At 33.9% G+C, this 20,353-nt stretch overlaps 1 long non-coding RNA gene across 1 annotated transcript in view; it reads left to right on the top strand.

Annotated features, from left to right (window-relative positions):
- LINC02511 (long intergenic non-protein coding RNA 2511) overlaps positions 1 to 20,353 on the top strand; it is a 416,898-nt gene that overhangs the window by 241,786 nt on the left and 154,759 nt on the right. The window lies entirely within an intron of this gene.

Genomic DNA, 20,353 nt, shown 5'->3' with positions numbered 1-20,353 from the left:
AAAACGACAATCAAAACAAAAGCCCAGGCTATACTAAGTCCTTACAAGATAATGGCATAAAACACACACGCACGCACAAGACGGAGAGAGAGAGAGAGAGAGAGAGAGAGAGAGAGAGAGAGAGAAACAACTTCAGCCCAAGTACACTAGAAATGTTGATATCATGCAGCTTGATGAGAGTGCAGAAGGTAAGAAGACCTCTCGAAAGTAAACCTACCGGAATTAGATGGATAACAGAAGGCAGGCTGGAGGGGACAGCATATAAGATTAGAAACAAGTAAAACGTTTCTAGGCCAGAAGGAAAGAAGAGAGGAAGGTTAAAAAACAATGAAAAGAACTACTTCACACATTCTAGGGGAATGGAAGAGGAGAGAGGATATGCAGACTCATTTTCAGGTAAGAGAGCAGAGAAGTGGCCTATCAGATATGTACTTCACTTCAAATTGAGGAATGGAGAATGGACTGTTGATAGTACAGAGGAGAATAATGATGTAGCCCATGAATGTAGTAGGAGTAGTATAAAAGAGAGCTAGTGTGCTGGGCGCGGTGGCTCAAGCCTGTAATCCTAGCACTTTGGGAGGCCCAGGCAGGTGGATCGCCTGAGGTCAGAAGTTCAAGACCAGCCTGACCAACATGGAGAAACCCTGTCTCTACTAAAAATACAAAATTAGCTGGGCATGGTGGTGTATGCCTGTAATCCCAGCTACTCAGGAGGCTGAGATAGTAGAATCGCTTGAACCCAGAAGGCGGAGGTTGCGGTGAGCCGAGATCACATCATTATATTCCAGCCTGGACAACAAGAGCAAAACTCTGTCTCAATAAATACATAAATAAATAAGCTAGTAAGTATGCATCTAGGCCCAAGTTATACCTACCATTAGACTAATTATAATAAAAACCACACATATCGCACTGTTTTACATGTATTAGTTTAAAATATTTAATACTTGTAACAATGCCAGGGATTAGGTACTTTAACGCCCTTTTTCCTTTGTTGGGAAAAATGAAGCATGAGGAGTTTAAATAACTTGTCCAGGTATGCACAATTAAAAAAGGATGAACAGAAATGCAAACTCAGAGGGCTGACTCCAGAGTCTATTTTCTTAAATCCTATCCTGCTCTGGCGGATGGCTGGACGCTTGAGGGTAGCTGTATCACACTTAGCAAATTACATGGCTTTTTTATACAGCAGTTGCTTCAAAAGTAAAGATGGGTGTGATAAAACATTTTGTATTTAACCTTTAAATCTTTTTAATGGGGGGTAATATATTGTAGTCAAGATTAGATCTTACTGATAAAGGCACAGTTTATGAAAGTACCTCTCTTATTTAGTCTTAAAAATATCTCACAGCACCAACTGCTGCAGATTTATCAAACTCAAGCCCTACTTACTGTAGGAGGCTCTTCTTTCCTTTTCTGGTACCAACTATCACTCTCATCTAAGGATTTCTTAGTAATACTTGTCTGAAACTCAATAGTAGATCTTTTTGTTATTGAGGCCCAGAAGTTGATATTCAGTATTTGTGGAGAAATTTTAAGCAATTTATTTTATTAATAGTAAAATTTGATTATATACTAGAGAAATAATTGGAGTGTCATCATCAACTGATTGGTCACTTGAGGAAATTCCTTCTGTTGATGATATGCTAGTAGCTGTTGATAAATATTGCTGGCAACTATCATCCTGGAAGTAGCTGTGATTATCATCCACATATCTATCAATGGCAGGGGCAGTGAGAAAATGAATAAAGAGGGTAGGCTCAGCCCACATTTCCTGCCAAATTTTATAGCACACAGACACACACAGAATTTTAAATTGAAAATAAGTAATTTATAGTCCTAGGTAACAAGAAACAGTGCACTCAATTTTTTATAATTTCTCTAAGTAGAACTCCAACAAACTTGGCTTGACGAACACAAGTTTTTGTAGTGCATTTTTCTGAAGAAACTTGAAAGTCAGAGTCTATAGATGAAGAGTGTGGAGTTTGGTCTTGTGTTAGTCACCAGAGGGTACTAATAAAAATGTCATTCAGAGTAACAGGACAGAAACTCTTTCCCATCTCTTATCTGCACAGAGCGAGGGCAGTAGCAGCTTCTTGTGCCCACAAAGAATGTCTTGGAACTGTAGATATAGAGAGTGCTCCCTGTAGCTGCTAGCTTCTTGCCAGCATTCAGAGACATCTGAAGCTAATTCCATCCAAGCAAACTACATACATGTCTGCTATGTTTACTGCACAAATGATGAATTTTAGGAAAAGTATTTTTTTAGATCAAATTGATAAAAATTAGATAAGCTATGTAATGTGAAGGATTTTTATGTTAGTGCACTGTTAATGAAAACATTGGTTTATTACACTTTTTCCCGTCATGAAGTTATATACCATAAATAACAGACTCATTGCAATGAAGAATTTTTCAAACATTCTATAGAGAATATTTTCCAGTAATCACACTCATTAGATATCTGATTAAAAGTAGCAAAGTATAATCAGCCAGAATCTTGAATCAATTACACATGGCAGCTTTACTATTCTCCCAGTGCATGCATAAAACTGCCATTTAACATTACTAACATTTGAAGTCTTTGGAAAAAAGTGGCTATTTGAAATGTTAAAAAAAAGAAAATGCCTTCAGGCTGGGCATGGCAGCTTATTCCTGTAATCCCAGCACTTTGGGAGGCTGAGGGGGCGATCACTTGAACGCAGGAGTTCAAGACCAGACTGGACAAAATAGTGAAAACCCGTCTCTACTAAAAATACAAAAAATTAGCTGGGCATGGTAGCAAGTGCCTGTATTCCCAGCTACTCTGGAGGCTGAGACAGGTGCATTGCTTGAACTCAGGAAGCTGAGCCTGCAGCAAGTCATGATGGCACCACTGCACTCCAGCCTGGGTGACATATTGAGACCCTGTCTCTGAAAAAAAAAATATAGGCTTCTGTATTCTTTCTAGTCATTTCTGTACAATTAAATTTATGTAATTTAATCATGTGCAAATTTTCTTACAATTTAATAAAATAAATATTAATATTAATAAGTATAATTCTATGAGGCATATCTAATAAAATACATCAAAATACTTCGTTCTGTCCTTCACAATATATTTCTTGTTTACAATGAATCTGGCTGGGTACAGTGGCTCACACCTATAATCCCAGCACTTTGTGATGCTAAGACAGGTATATTTCTTGAGGCCAGAAGTTCAAGGTTACAGTGAGCTATGATTGTACCACTGCACTCCAGCCTTGGTGACTGAGCAAGACTGCCACCAAAAAAAAAAAAAAAAAGGATAAAAATTTATCACAGCATGTGGCTAAATAAGATTTATAAATTTAAAATAACAGCTTGAGAAATTTCTTCTTCAACCACAAGACTCTCAATAAAATTTAAGATTATGGAAACATTACTGATAAGGCATTTTAAAGTTTTATTATTACTTTAAGTACCAAGGACTTAGAAGTGATCATTTGAGAAATCAGAATCACTTATTTGTATTTTTTAATTCTACAAAGACAAATGCGTGAAATGTTAGCTTGCTGCATTTTTTGCCTGAAACTAAATGTACTAAATTATGACAGTTTTTTCCTTTTATTCCTAGATTCAAATTGAATTCAATTGAATACCACAAATATTTATTTAATATGTAATCATTTTTATTATCTAAGGTATTTCAAGGAGGAGTGCGTAAAGGCCTCGAGAGATAAACGCCCATATGAGTCAAACATTACCAGACTGTAGTCAAGAAAGTATTGTCAATCCCTGATTGAAGTGTAGCTGCAGTTGCGTAGACAGGTATGTACACACCACACAGATACACACACACACACACACACACAGAGGCAGCAACAGTGATTAATATTTTCAAGTATTCAATTCCAAAAATAATCTTATGTCATATATTCTATACTTTTTTTCAGCCAAGCTATTGCCAAGACTGTAAATTAGGTGTGTATTATTTACACATCTTTTAATCTTTTTTCTCCTTAAATCTTCTGGAGCATATTATAGTGTAAATAAATTATTAAAAGCATGATGCATAAATAATATTATGATTTCTTATGAGATTTATTTAACTCAGGATTCAGAGGTTTAAGAGTGTCAAATATTTCCATCCACCAATGCATGCCTTAACAGTAGCTCCAATGGAAGCCACCTCAGAAGAGAGTCCGCTTTTTTTAAAAACTAATTCATAATATATTGCCAGTTTTACATTTTAAAAAATGCTATTTGTGAAGAATAAATGTTTACAATTTGAAATCAAAATTTATAAACTGTGAATATCTATCTAATTGTCCTAGTGATAAATGGAGTTGTTTTCTCTTATTTTATAAATGTTATAGGGACAGAAATAATTTGTAATTACTAACACTGAATAAATGATAAATCTACTCATGTTTTTTTTTTCCCCAAAAAGAATGAGCAGAAGGTCTTTTGGCAAATACTTTATTTTTATTTATTTATTTATTGAAACAAAGTCTCACTCTGTCACCCACACTGGACTACAATGATGCTAAACTCCTCCCACCGCAGCCTCCTGAGTAGCTGGGACCACAGGTGCCACCATGATGACTGGCTGCTTTTAGTGTTTTTGTAGTGATCGCATTTTACCATGTTATTCAGGCTTGTCTCGAATTCCTGGGCTCAAGTGATTTGCCAACTGAATTAGATTTAGAGGCAAGCTTTTGCCTCTGATTGAATGTGCAAATTTCATTTCACAATGGAAATTTCTGAAGTTTGTCCCAACTTCAGAACTTTGGACACCCATTGTAAAAATTTATGAAAGGTTAGGGAGTCATATCATTTATTTTGGTGAGATGCTTTGTGTCAGGAACAGCTTAGCAGAGGGATTTTATTTTTTATGTTGAGAGAAAGTCATTAAATTTAAAAACCCAGAGGTTTGTGGAAGCACAACAAATGACAAAAGTGATATTGTAGCTAATGGTTTCTGTCAACTGTGAAATTAGTCATAAACACCAATATAATTCCATGAAATCTAAGGCATATAGAGAATCCAAAGCCTGGCTTTTTACTGGTAGTAGAACACTTTAAATTTCTTATAAAAAACATATATATATATATATATATGATTTTTAGTAATTTCAAGCATGTATAAAAATCGGAACATGAAAATTAACACATATTTCAAATATGTAGTTACACAAACAGCTCAAGAAAGACCTGCCCCCATAATTCAATCACCTCTCACCAAGTTCCTCCCATGACACGTGGGAGTTAAATTCAAGATAAGATTTGGGTGGGGACACAGCCAAACACTATCAATATGCATGTTTTCAACCTGTTCACTTCTGAGAAATCTAGATGCATTTTACAGTCAGCTGAATTTTACAATCACCGCCAGCTGGTTGAAGTCATGACATAGACGTGTGAAAAAATCTCCCTTAGAATCTTCTGGCAAAACCAGGAAACTGTCAGTATCAGTGGTGCTTAAATTTCATGTGAGAAAGCTTAGTGAGTGATTAAATCAAGGGTGATTTTTTTTCCCCTTTTAATCTTTTACTCAGGTTTTAAAAATTGTATGATTTTTGTAAAGACAAAATTTATTAACAAACACCGTAAAAGAGAGCATAGGAGGAAATGAAATGAAGGAGGGACATGTGTTCTTAATATAGACCTATAAAGTCCCGCTGAAAGATTAGAAATAATGTCACTTTAACTGTATTGAAAACAAAGGTTGGCACAGAAACAGAATAGCAAAGAAAATTAAAAAGTAGAGAAGAGGAATTGTACTGAAATATTACTTTCTTTATTGCTTTTGAGAAAGTTGTTAGCTTAAGTAAAATTTAAAGTAACTAAGCCAGTTAACTTGATGTCAGGTTTAGGTCCTACGTAACACATACAACCTTGGCCAAAACACTGCTCTCACTTACATTTAATTATTTCCATTTTTTTAATTGGGAAATATCCCAGCAAGTTTGGGAAAGATTGTTAATTATGTAAGTATTGGGAAATGTTATAAAACACCTATTTGAATATGACTCTACTGAGTCATACAGATTCTGAAAAGTTTTAGTGTCAAGATATTTTCATCTTGAGAAATGCCAGTCTTATTTACAGATTTTGAGGGACAGCATTGGTACCAAAATTACCCATTGTAAATGTACAATTAAGTGAATTTTACTAAATGTATACAATTGTGCAAATCTGCACAATTCAGTTTTAGAACATTCATGTCACTCCAAAAATTTCCAACTTGTTCCTTTGCAGTCAATCCCCCTTCTCACCCTAAGCATTGATCTGCTTTCTGTCTCAATAAATGTGCCTTCTCTGGACATTTCATATACATAGAATCATGCGATATGTGACTTCTTTCACTAGACAATGTTTTTAGATTTATACACGATGCAGCATGTATCAGTAGTTTGTTAAGTTTTATTGCATACTATTACAATTTGTTCCTATACTGCATATTTTTAATCATTCACCAGTTAATGGACATTTGTATTCTTTTTAGGTATTGGCTATTATGAACCATGCTGCTGTGAATGTTCACATATGTGTCTTTGAATGGACTTGTGTGTTCACTTATTTTGGTAGATTTCTGAGTGGAATTGTTGTGCTGTATGATAAATTTATGTCAAAATTTTCAAGTGCCCAACTGTTTTCCAAAGTAACTTTACCATTTTGTATTCCCACTAGCAATGCATGAGGGCTCCCATTTGTGTACATTTCCCCCAACACTTGGTATTTTCTGTCTCCTTCTTCCATAACCATTCTAGTGGGTGTGTAATGGTATCTTATTATGCTTTTCATGTGCATTTCTCTAATGATTAATGACATTGAACATCTTTAAATGTATGTCCTAATCTTTTATATATCTTCTGTAGTAAAATGTCTATTAAAATTGTTGATCATAGTTTTTAGGAAGAATCTAAGAAATCCTTATCTAACCCAAGATCATGAGGCCCTTCTCCTAATTCTTTTATGTAAATAGTTTTAGGTTTTTCATTTAAGTCTTGTGATTTGTTTTTATTTAATTTTTGTATATGGTGTGGAGAATTTTATTGCTATTATCATTATTATTGATTGCATGTGGGCACTTTGGTTGTAAAGCAATTGGCCATAAGCACATGGTTTATTTGAATTTGCCAAGATCACAATAGAAGACATAAGGTTTCCACAATTCTAATGTTTACTGAAAAGCTCACATTTGGCCGGGTGTGGTGGCTCACACCTGTAATCCCAGCACTTTGGGAGGCCAAGGTGGGAGGATCACGAGGTCAAGAGATCAAGACCATCCTGGCCAACATGGTGAAACCCCGTCTCTACTAAAAATACAAAAATTAGCCTGGCATGGTGGTGCTCAACTGTAGTCCCAGCTACTCAGGAGGCTGAGGAAGGAGAATAGTTTGAACCCAGGAGGCAGAGATTGCAGTGAGCCCAGATCACACCACTGCACTCCAGCCTGGTGACAGAGCAAGACTCCATCTAAAAAAAAAAAAAAAAGCTCACATTTTATTACTGGTAATGAATATTGCCATTTATTTTTCTTGAAGTGTCAATCTAATTAATTAATTTCTCAAAAATATCTGTCAAATACCAAAGTCTAAATAATTATATTATTTTTAAAACTCTTTTCCTATATAGCTTCCCTCCTTCTCTCTGGAGCAACTTCTATAACTAAAGTGCATCATTTTGTCTGTAAGTCAGAGTAACTAACATTCTCTTGAGAATCTCCTTTCTTGATGAGTGTTCTGGAATATGTTTCCTGGAAGAAAACTGAGGCGATGGTAGAGATCAATTTGCTTGTTTCCTTTCTCTCCGGGACCAGAGTCTTAATCTGGCATTTGGGTAACATCAGAAAATAGTTTTGTCTAGTCCTTTGGTTGTTTTTTTTGTTTGTTTACAGATATAGGCTTTATGTGTCTTTTTTAGTCCATAGTCCATTGTAATTGGAAGCCAGCTACAGTTCTTCATCATATCATTTTAGCTGAGTCATTCTAGTAATTGAATAATTTTAATTATAGAGTAATATTTCTTACTTCAAAAAATAGTGATGATATATTACATAATTAGAGATAAGAGCTCTTAGAACCAAGAAGTTTATCTTAATATTTTAGCTGTTCCAACCCCCCAGAAAATGGACAAATGGTATTACATCAAGTTACAAACTTTCTACAAAGCAAACGAAACAATCAACAAAGTGAAGAGACAAACCACAGAACAGCAGAAAATCTTTGCAACCTACTCACTGACAACGGATTAATAACCAGATTGTATAAGGAGCTCAAAAAACTCTATAGATAAAAATCTAATAATTCCGTTTTTAAAATAGGCAAAAGTTTTTGAATAGACTTTTCTCAAAATAAATAAAACCGTACAAATGGCAAAGAAATATCTGAAAAATATTCAACATCACTGATTGTCAGAAAAATCCAACTAAAGCTACAATGAGGCATCACCTCACCCCAGTTAAAATGACTTTTATCCAAAAGACAGGCAATAACAAATGCTGGCAAGAATGTAAAGCAAAGGAAACCCTTGTACACTGTTGGTAGGAATGTAACTTATTATAACCACTATGGAAAACTATGTAGAAGTTCCTCAAATACTAAAAATAAAGCTACTGTATGATCCAACAATTCCTCTGCTAGGTATATGTCCCAAAGAAAGAAAAACACTGTATCAAATAATATCTGCAATCCCAAGTTGTTTCAGCACTGTACACAATAGATAAGATTTGGAAGCAATCTAAGTGTCCATCAGCAGATGAATGGATTAAAAAATGTGATGCTTATACAAAATGGAGTACTATTGAGCCAAAATAGTTAAAACTGCAGTTACATCAGCATGAATCAAAGTGGAGACACCAACTGTACGTGTAGTCAATGCATTCTTCACTGCCTTACACTTAGAATAAAATTAAAAATTCTAGTTCAATTCTAGTTCAAATAAATGCCTTAAATGATAAATTTAAAATTGTTATTTTTAAAGGTATCTACCACTGATTTATGCATGTTTAATATTCTGTGTGAAGAAATAGGGAGCATGCCTAAAGTAACTTAATGCTGAGTACATATTATGATGATTGGCCCAGAGAAAATAATTTGTGGACTATTTTGAGTGGCTGGGTGAACCAGCCATTGTTTTTATGGAATGTAACTTTTACTTGATAAGTGAAAGAAAAATAACATGATTATTTAGACTTTGATATTTGTCAGATAGTTTTGGGAACATGAACAAGTGAGAGACTGACTCCTCAAGAAAAGCAAATGGCAGTCTTCATTACCATTAATACAACGTGAGCTCTTGAGCAACAATTAAAATTTTGGAAATCTTATATTTTCTACTGTGTGCTTGGCAATTTCACATACTTGAAACTTTTTTAATGAGATAGGTAATGAGATTAATAAATGTGAACTTTTCATATCTTGTACTGTGTTAAAATTTGAAAGATTTACATAACTTAGTGAACTAATATTTTTAAAATAATGCATGATATTATGAAAATATGCATTGGTAAATAATTCATTTGAAGTTCCAAACAAGCCAAGAAAGTTTAATGCAATGTAATGTGAAAGAGTACCAAAGAGTACCAAAGTTCACTGAGAGGGTTTCTGATCCCATATTGCAACTAATCTTTAAGAAATTATCACTTGTTAAATTTTGGTGAAAACCAAAGAATAATATTCACAATTACTTAAAAAGGTCATTCTAACTTTTTAAACTACATTAATAATTGGACAGATTTTATCCAAATACTCCAACTAAAACAAAATATTGGATGAAGAAACAAATATTAGAATCTACATGACTTCACAGATATTTGCAAATGTATAAAACGGTCCCTCCCTTCTCACTGAATATTTTATTTTGAAAAATGCAGATGTTTTTAATAAAAGTATACTGATTTTACTATGATCATTATTCATAGTACCTAGTACATTTATTATTATTCCCTAATTAATTTATTACTAGATATTTTAAAAATTTCTTTTCAATATCAATATGGTAGATATTGATAGACACAGCACACACAAACAAAAGATTTTGTGAGTCCTCAGTAAGTTTTGGAGCATAAAAAATTGGATTAGATGGGAAGAAGAAAGTCAAATTTCTGTCCTGTAATACATCCCCTACCTCATTAAATTTACACATATCATGTTTAAATTAAATCCCACAAGCCATTCTGGATGTTTGCTGCTTTTAGATGGCATCAATTTTCTGTCCCTTTCACCTTCAGTTACTTAACAACAAGGTATTTTTGAGTTCAAATTTTGTCAGCAATTTTATATTATTACCAAATTTGCTATTTTATACAGAAATAGTAATTGGTTTATAGTATCAACGAAAAAAAATTTTAAAAATAATCATTATTTTAGACCTCTTGAAATTAGACAGAGCTACAGTATTATATCATGGGTTCTTCTAACCATGGTAAACAGAACGGTGAGGGAAGTTATATTCTATCCCTTAGGTGTTTGCTTACAAAGAGGAGGTAATGATAGAGGACAACAGAGAGCATAAAATATTTATGTAGTGCCACTTGTTTTGCCCATTTGGGAAATCAATATTTTAACAATCGTATTTTACAATACCCAGGATCATGAGTCTAGCGTGCTAAGAATAAGACAGTTTATAGAAGTGGAGACTGAAAACATAAAGTATATAAAACTTCTTAAAAGTGTACATCCTGGAGCTATAAAGAGAGAGAAAACCTAGCACTAGCAGAAGCTAAACCAACAATGTTCTCCTTGCTTTTTACCTCATACGCATTAAAACTCTCTTCCAAGTTTCTATGTTTTCTTTATGGTATTTGATATTCTTCCAACAATATTCTATAAAACAATATGCTGTGTTAATTAGGCTGCTTTTAAAAGATCTCAATTGAAAAATAAATACTCATACAAACAGCACTATTGTTTCAGAATCATATGGAGACCACTTTTTTGTTAAAATACTGTATGTTTAATGTAATTATTTTTAGTGTTGTTTATGATGTCTTAGACAGATAAAACTACCTAAAACACATATAAATGCACTTGATTACTGTAATAACTTATAGAATATATATAGTGAAAATATTCTCTGTCATATATGTGATTTAAGTAATTCATAATTATGGGGGGTTTTATTTTCTTTTGTTATTCCTGAAAAGCAAAATCCACCATTTGTTCTATTTACCAAGGTTATTAGATTTTAAATGACATTTAAAGGTATGAAACATAGATTATTAAAATATTTTAATAAAAATAAAAGTGTAGAGGCTATAAGAATGAATATGTGAATTTAGAATAATTAATAATTTTAAAGATAATTATGTTGGCATATTATAAAGTTAGAAAATTGAAATAAATATAAAAAGCATAAGAGTAAACTAATCCTCTCTATACGTAGTAAGCCAAGAGTAAGCCAATCTACTCTGTATATACATATATATATGTGTGTATATGCAAATGATATATGCACATATATACATAGAGAGAGAGAAAGAGTGGAAAGAAGGAAGGAAGGAAGGAAAGAAAGACGGAAGGAAGGAAAGAACAACTAATTCATTGGTCTCGAAGGAAGGAAGGAAAGAAAGGGAGGCTATGACAAATAAATTTGAACTTTATACAAAATCTAACATATAATTGCATATCTCTTTATTCCACTTTTTGTATTAAAGAAGAGTTATGCAATACAATTTTCCTTTTTGACTATGCATTTCTCTGAGTTTCAATAAATGTATAATCATGTTAACTGCCACTATAATCAAGATGTAAAACAACTCCATCAATCTCATCTACTCCCATCCCTATTTTCCTTTAATGCTTTGTATAACCCTTCCTCACACTGCCAGCTCCTGTCAACCAGCAATCCGTTTCTAGTTCCTGTAGTTTTGTCCTGTCCAGAATGTCATATAAATGATATCATATACGGAAATCTAATCATATCCTTAGACCCGGTAATCTGAGTCTGTTATATTTCAGGCAGTAACTCGTTTGAGATTTGTGCAGATTGTTGTGTATATTGAGTAGTTTTTTTTTAACCACTGAGTAATATTCAATTTTGTGGATATCCCAAATTTATTCCTCTGTTTACCAGTTGAAAGAACTTTGGGTTAATTTCAATTTGAGAACAGCTAAAAATAATGACACTATAAACCTTTCTGTATAGGATTTTCTATAAACTAAAGTGTTTACTTGGCTAAAATCTGGTGAGTAAAGTGTTTCTGTTTGTTTGGTGATTTTATGTTTAATTTTATGGGACTACCAAACTATTTTCCAATGTACCTGTATCATTTTACATCCCTCCAAGCATTGTTTGACTGTTTCAGGTACTTTGCATCTTTTCTAACTCGAGATGGTTTTATTTTTTAATATCATTTTAACCACTTACGTATTTGTGTCGTGTATCTTTTCATGTTTTCATTTGTATTTATCTGCTGATGAAAAAGATTGAGCATCTTATTTGCTTTTTGCTATGTTTATGTCTTCTGGTCAAGTATCTGTTCAATTATTTTGCCAATTTTCAATTATTATTAGTAAACCAGACAAAAAGGATACATACTAGGTGGCTTCATTTATATAAATTTCTAGAAAGTGCAAACTAACTTATATTGATAGAAGACAGTGCAGTAGTTGTCTGGTGATGGGAAAGCAGGGAATAAGGAGGGTTATTATGGGGAGATTATGAAGGGAAATGTGTAAACCTTCACGGATGATAGACATGTTTATGTATCAATTATGGTTATGATTTTACAGACATATATATGTTAAAACTTATCAAATTATACAATTTTAATATATGAGGTTTATCATTTGACAATTATGCCACTATAAATATATTTTAAAATGAAGCATAAACAATAAATGGGTACATATTATGTTTTCACCCACCTGCCTTTAGACAATTCTTATTACAATGGGCTAGCAGGACTATTAAAAATAAGTCTGATAATATGCTCATTTGCTCCATACTTCAATTAATTTCCCATCTTTGTCAATGTTTTTCAGGGGTGTAAAATTTCTTTCACCATTGCTTCCCAATGTACTGATCCCTAGGAGAAGTTTTAGAAACGGGATACTGTTGTGGCAGTGATGACTGGAGATCTACTTGTGCTTACTGGGATGCTAAATGTTCTACAATGTTCAGAAAAGTTCCACAAAATGATTTTTCTGATATTCTGCAAAAAAACATTTGAATTTCCTGCTAGACATTTATCCAAAAGAGTTTTGAGCCTAAAACACTACTCCATATTCTTGAGGATATTAAATATTTTTGCACAGTTTTAATAGAAAGTAAACAATTTAGGAATATAAATCACATGAAAGTGTAGGAAGGCTGTATTTGTTGTATCTCTACTTGTTAGTTTTTTTTCTTTTTTTACCATTTCAAAAAAATAACAGAAAGTAAAAGTAGACAGCCGCATCAAGTCTGTATTTATAGCTGTAACGTTCACATTTACTCTACACAGAGGTGCAAACATCTGACTTCAGCATCACATGTTCTGGAGTAGTTGTGCCTGAGCTTTCACCTACTGAAACACTCAGATTTTATAAAGACTTTACATTAATGTTTTTAAATAGTGATGTCAGGTGTTACAGGTTGGGTTCTCAAGAAACATACTCTCCGAGGTGGAGTTTAAGATTCAAGCCCTTTATTAGGTAATATCCTTCCAACTCAAATCTGTTGAAAGTAAGAGTAGGAGCAGGACTGAGCAGAGGGTGAGGTGGGTCTGCAATGCAGACCAAAGAACAACTAATTCAGTGGTCTCAAAATTTTGGAGTCAGAATATTCCTTCTGAGTTAGATCTCATTAGGCCTGGATGTCCAGGCATTTGTCAGTCATTTGACGTGGACTGCCTCAGTAGTTTTATATCAAGAGTACTGCCTTAAATTCAGTTTATTGTGAAAATATTCAATGCCCTGGCTCTCAGCATTTTCCCATTACCATCACGGATAGTTCTAAGACTCGGGTTTGTCAACTTTGAATAAACTGCCTAATATACAGTTAAAATAATCTTGGGGTATTAATTATTAATGCGTGACTACTTGACTACTGGAAGACCTTGTGAGTGATGCCCTTTTCTAGGCAGTGACATGCACGTAGGGAGTGTAATCTCTGTGGCTATGTACTGGCAAGTACGCAGCCAAATATCAGAACATTGGATTATACTTAGAGGCAAGCTTTTGCCTCTGATTAATGTGCAAATTTCATTCTGCAATGGAAATTTCTGAAGTTGGTCCCACTTAAGAACTTTGGACACCCATTGTAAAAGGTTTATGAAAAATTAGGAGGTCATATCTTTTCTTTAGATGAGATGCTTTGTCTCAGGAAGAGCTTACCAGAGGGATTTTATTTTTTTGTTGATGTTGAGAGAAAGTCCTTAAATTAAAAAGCTTGGAGGTTTGTGGAAACAAAAAAGAAGACAAAAATGATATTGTAGATAAAGGTTTCTGTCAACTGTGAAATTAGTCATAGACACCAATATAATTCCATGAAATCTAAGGCATAGAGGGGATCTAAAGCCTGTCTTTTTTATTGGAAGTAGGACACTTTCTAGCAGTTTTATTTGTTTTGTTTTTAATTTTATTTTCTTTTAAGTTCCAGGGTACATGTGCAGGATGTACAGGTTTGTTACATAGGTAAACGTGTGCCATGGCAGTTTGCTGCACGTATCAATCCATCACCTAAGTATTAAGCCCTGCATACAATAGCTGTTTTTTCTGATGCTCTCCCACCTCCCTTCCCTACCCTGACAGGCCCCAGTGTGTGGTTGTTTCCCTCCCTGTGTCCTTGTGTTCTCATTGTCCAGATCCCACATACAAGTGAGGACATGAGGTGTTTGGTTTTCTGTTCTTGTGTTAGTTTGCTAAGGATAATGCCTTCCAGCTTCTTTCATGTCGCTGCAAAGAATATGATCTCATTCTTTTTGTGGCTGCATAGTATTCCATGGTGTATATGTACCACATTTTCTTTATTCAGTCTATCATTGATGGGCATTTGGGTTGATTGCATTTCTTTGCTATTGTGAATAGTGCTGCAATGAACATGTGTGTGCATATATCTTTATAATAGAATAATTTTTATTCCTTTGGGTATGTACCCAGTAATGGGATTGCTGGGTCAAATGGTATTTCTGGTTCTAAATCTTTGAGGAATCACTACACTGTCTTCCACAATGGTTGAACTAATTTACATTAACACCAACAGTATAAAAGCATTCCTATTTCTCTGCTACCTCACCAGCATCTGGTGTTTCTTGACTTTTTAATTTATATTCAGGGACTCTTCATTCAATCTTAGATGCTGTTTGGTTACTTGGTATATGAATTTAGTAAATTATCCAGGTATAAAATGTTTATCTGATACATTCAAAGAAACCAACTTCTTTAGAGTCAATACCTGCCAAGTCAATTGGTTTATTTCTCAGTAGGGGTTAAAGTTTTATGCCCAAATTGTATAACCTTGGGTTGTGTCTCACGTTTGAATAGATAAGACTCGGTAAGCATAAATACGATGTTGGTTCCTTTTCTGCTGAAGGTAGACAATGTAAACATTTTACAAATGAAACATTTGGATACCAACAGTTCACAATGTGTAAATATTTTTCAAACCCATTGATGACATACTTTAAGATCATTAAAATATACCTGTGAAAGCATGTCAAATGCGTATTGCACCCCTTTCCTGAGAAGATATGCTGATATTTGTCTTTTAGATGAGCATAGAAAAGAAGGCATTAGCAAAAGCAAAGGCTGTATTTAAATGCTAACAGAGGCTGCAAAATATTCATTTACTGTAGATTCAACAGTGGTCATGTTCTTGTTAAAGCTTTGATAGTTTACAGTGCTGTGCCAAGTAGCAGTAGCTTCCAGAAAATGATGTATAGTGTTCAACTTGTATAAATCTTGTAAGAGAATACTATTTATTTTTCTCCTGAATTAGTTCATTATATGACTTTGGCAGCCGTAAGAAGTATGAAAGTTCTTGGCCATGTATATTAGTTCGTTTTCATGCTGCTGATAAAGACATACATAAGACTGGGCAATTTACAAAATAAAAAGGTTTAATTGGACTTACAGGTCCATATGGCTGGGAAATCCTCATAATTGTGGTGGAAGAAAAGAAGGAGTAAGTCACGTCTTACATGGATGGCAGCCAGCAAAGAGAGATTGGGCAGGGAAACTCCCCCTTTTGATATCGTCAGACCTCATGAGACTTATTCACTATCATGAGAACAGCACAGGAAAGACGTGCCCCCATGATTCAGTTACCTCCCATAGGGTCCCTCCCACAATACATGAGAATTCAAGATTAGATTTGGGTGGGGACACTGCCAAACTGTATCACTATGCATTTGAGTTACCATTCTAGAAAACACTAGCAAGTGTCATAGTGGATGTGCTCAAATACTATATTCACATGCTTGCTTCTACAAAATATCCATACAAAATATATGGGGCCTCCAAAGAAAAGCAAGCATAACCTGTACAGATGATAATGATAATAATGACCAGTATTATAACCATAATTACAATCTTGTAAGGTGCAGTACTTGGCTTAGGATTCAGTACTTAGCCTCCTCTTGGAGGAAAGAATGGAAAATTGAGTTTCAAAATTAGTCAATGTCTCTGTTTTCTTTTGCCTCTGACTGTGAAAGAAAAATTATTTCTGCATTTTCACATTACTCTATTTCATTATACATGTTTCTGCCAAGTGGAAGTAACCCAATCCATTCCTGACTTAATCTCGAGTTCAGTACTTTCTTCACCATCGTTATAAACATTGTAGCTTCTAGCTTAGCTCAGACAGGTAATATGCATAAGCCACTATTAGGATCCAAAATATATTGCTCAGAGGTACATAGTCATGAGCCACTATTGCCATGCAGTATTAATGTAAAGTAGCACTTACTGGAGAAACTCAGAGGCAAAAAGAGCACCTGAACACATATGATCTTGAAGCTCTAAGTATTCTACAAAAAGATCAGTTGGGGCTGGACATAACTGAAAAATTGTGGAAGAATTTCAGGAAGGAGATTTCACACTGTGATAATTTACATGTTTGTAGAAGACTTGAAGGAGGGACAAGAAACATGGGTTACATGGTTTAAACCATATCACAATTAGAGCTTTTTGATCAAGGAGAAAGCTTTGTCAAGACCCTTCTCCTGGTATTATTCAAAAGCCTTATGTTGTTCTGCTCAGCTAATTTTGATTAAGCTCCCAAATATAACCCTAGCACCATCCATATATGCTTTCCATTAAAATCATATTAATGAATCTATGAAATAGTGATCATAGTTATGCTTGCAAAATATCAATAGGAAGGAAATAAACTAAAGGTAATTTGTAGAATTTCATTTAAAAAAATAGAGCATATCTTAACAATGGACTGCATATCCCATGCCATCTATATACTTACATAAATACTATATTTATGTGAACTTATGTGAAAAGAAACAAGGATCACTGAAGTGTGCCACCTCTCCTTCCATGTAGATAACTAGAAATAATAGACAAGAAAATGATTAGAGAGATGCATATTTGTCTACAAAATATCAAGGTACACCTGAAATGATGCTGCATTTTAAAAAAGGAAAAGGATGTGGATATGGGAGAAATATTTACTTTTCATTGAATACATTTTCTGTAATATGGGCTTTTTAAATATCTTAATCTACTGAGTCTTTTTTTTTTCATTAAAATAAAAAGAACCTATTACTTCCCAGAACTTGATTTCCAATATTATTCTCCAGTAAAAATAACCAAGGTTCCATGAATAAGTAGCTGATTCTAGTGCTGAGGTATGAGAAATCAAAGAACATGGAGCATCTTGCCATGCCAGGAAGTAAGGATGGACACAATGGTGGAGACATTTTAAAGAGATATAGGATCCACCTGAAAGAACTTTCAGTGTCCAAAGCTGGAAGAATATGAGCAATAAAATAACTCATATAGTTGTATTATAATGTAAAATATAGAATAAATGCACATGATGTGGCTTGGCTCTGTGTCCCCACCCAAATCTCATCTTGTAACTCCCATGATTCCCACGTGTTGTGGGAGGGACCCAGTAGGAGATAATTGAATCATGGGGGCAAGTCTTTCCTATGCTGTCCTCGTGATAGTGAATAAGTCTCATGAAATCTGATGGTTTTAAAAATGGGAGTTTCCCTGCACAAGCTCTCTTTACCTTCTGCCATCCATGTAAGATGTGACTTGCTCCTTCTTGTCTTCCACCATGATTGTGAGGACTCCCCAGCCATGTGGAACTGTAAATCCATTAAACTTCTCTTTGTAAATTTCCCAGTCTCAGGTATGTCTTTCTTATTAGCATGAAAACAGACTAATAAAGCATATGAGTCCATATTAATACAAATAAATGACTAAATAAATAAATAGAATAAGAGGACATAGGCAAATCCGTGTAAAATAATTCCAAAAATTTATATAGGTACTCTCTATTCACAGATGTGAAACTTAACTTTCTTTTCTTCAAGTGTGGGCTGCATAAAGTGATTTCCTTCCAAAAAATTAAGTATGTAAATGGAGAAAATGATAGTAACTTTACAGTGGAAAAACATGACAGGCACAGTGCCATCCAGATGAAGGTTAATCTCAGTTGTAATAAGTGATATTGATAGTATGTTTCTTTGATGTGATGTGATGAGAATGGCACTTTACCTCTCTGATTTTCCTTCCCCTAAAATGATAATTATTATCTAACATTGAGGGGAAAAATCTAAGCAAACCCAAATTTAAAGGCATTCTGTAAAATACCTTCCGAGTATTTCTTAAAACTATTAAAGTCATCAAAAAAACTGAGAAATGTCATAGTAGAAGACCCTACACAGAGATGACAATGAAATGTATTGTTATGTCCTGGATGGGATTATGGGAACAAAAAAAGACATTAGCTAAAACCTAAGGAAATCTACATGAAATATAGGCTTTAGTTAATAATAATGTATCAATGTTGATTCATGGTAAATTTATCACACTAATAACCGAAGATGTTAATAATAGGAAAAACTCAGTGTGAGGTGTATTGGAATTCTCTGCTGTATACTTTGCAAATTGTATGTACTTTCTCTGTGTATACCTTGTAAATTTCCCTTTTTTTTAAAAAAAGGGTTATAAATATAATATGACAGTACCTGTATGTAAAGATTTCTTTTCAAACCTATAAGATACTAGAGCTTTTATTAATGGCCCTATATTTATTAAGAGAGGGTTACCTGTTTTATTGATTGTTATTGTTATAATTGTGGAATGATTTATTTTGAAAATATTTTTTAAAGATATCTTTTCAAAAATCTAGGAAAATAACACATAAATCTGCAACAATGAGCACTGCTGTAAAATTTTAAGAATCGATAAACCCTGCTGAGTTGTTGGGTTCATTCTACCATCTGTTCCAACTATTTTTCAAAAAATCTGTTTTAATAGATTACTAAGTATGTCTCCAAAGCTCATATCCCACAGGGAATAAAGATCCTGGAGATTTCTAATCATAAAAATAATTGTGTTACAACTTTATTAATTTGAATCCAGGTTGTGGCAATTAGCTCAGATCTGGTAAAAATTAGTCTTATTATTATTCTCTTTATGTAGATGGCCAATAGTGTTCAGTTATTAATCTATTTCCTTTCACTGTTTAAAGTATCACTTTCTAACTTTTATATCATGCCTGCTATGGATCTTCTATTTTCTGTACTAAGCAATAATATCCAAGTCACAATTCTGCTATCCAAATTTCATCTGAGAGAATATTTTAAGGAGAGCCCTGCTATGAACTAAGTGCTGATGTCCCTTGAAATTCATATGTTGAAACCTTTATCCCCTGTGATGGTATTTGAAGATGGGGCCTTTGGGAGGTAATGAGGTCATAAGGACAAAGCACTCATTAATAGGATAACACCATTTTAAAGAGATAGGAGAAAGATAATCTTTCTTTTTACTCTATGAGGGTACAGCAAGAAGTTGGCCATCTATGAACTATAAAGAGAGCCCTCAACAGTAACGGAATCTGCTGGTATCTTGATCTTGAACTTCTCAGCCTCTAGAACTGTGAGAAATATTTTCTGTTATTTAAGACACTCAGTCTATAGTGGTAGTTACAGCAGCCTGAACTGACTAAAACAAAGCTCTGACACTAGTACTAAAATATGGGACATAGAGTTAAATCATGATCTGTTTCCCATTTGCATCTGTGTCTAACAAAGATTCTAGATGATTATATCTTGAATAACTAAGGTAAGATCTCTCTCAACAATCTTGAGTACATTAGGAATACTTACAAGAGTGTAAGACACATATATTCAAAATATTGAGTTACAGACCAAACTCAGAACCGTGTGTAGAGATGGTTGAAATCAATTTGGAAAGAGTTGACACCTTAAGAATAT

This window comes from Homo sapiens, chromosome 4 (genome assembly GCF_000001405.40).
Source record: "Homo sapiens chromosome 4, GRCh38.p14 Primary Assembly".
NCBI lineage: Eukaryota > Metazoa > Chordata > Mammalia > Primates > Hominidae > Homo > Homo sapiens.
The sequence above is the reverse complement of the archived record's forward strand: the minus strand, read 5'-3'. Positions and strand labels throughout refer to the sequence as shown.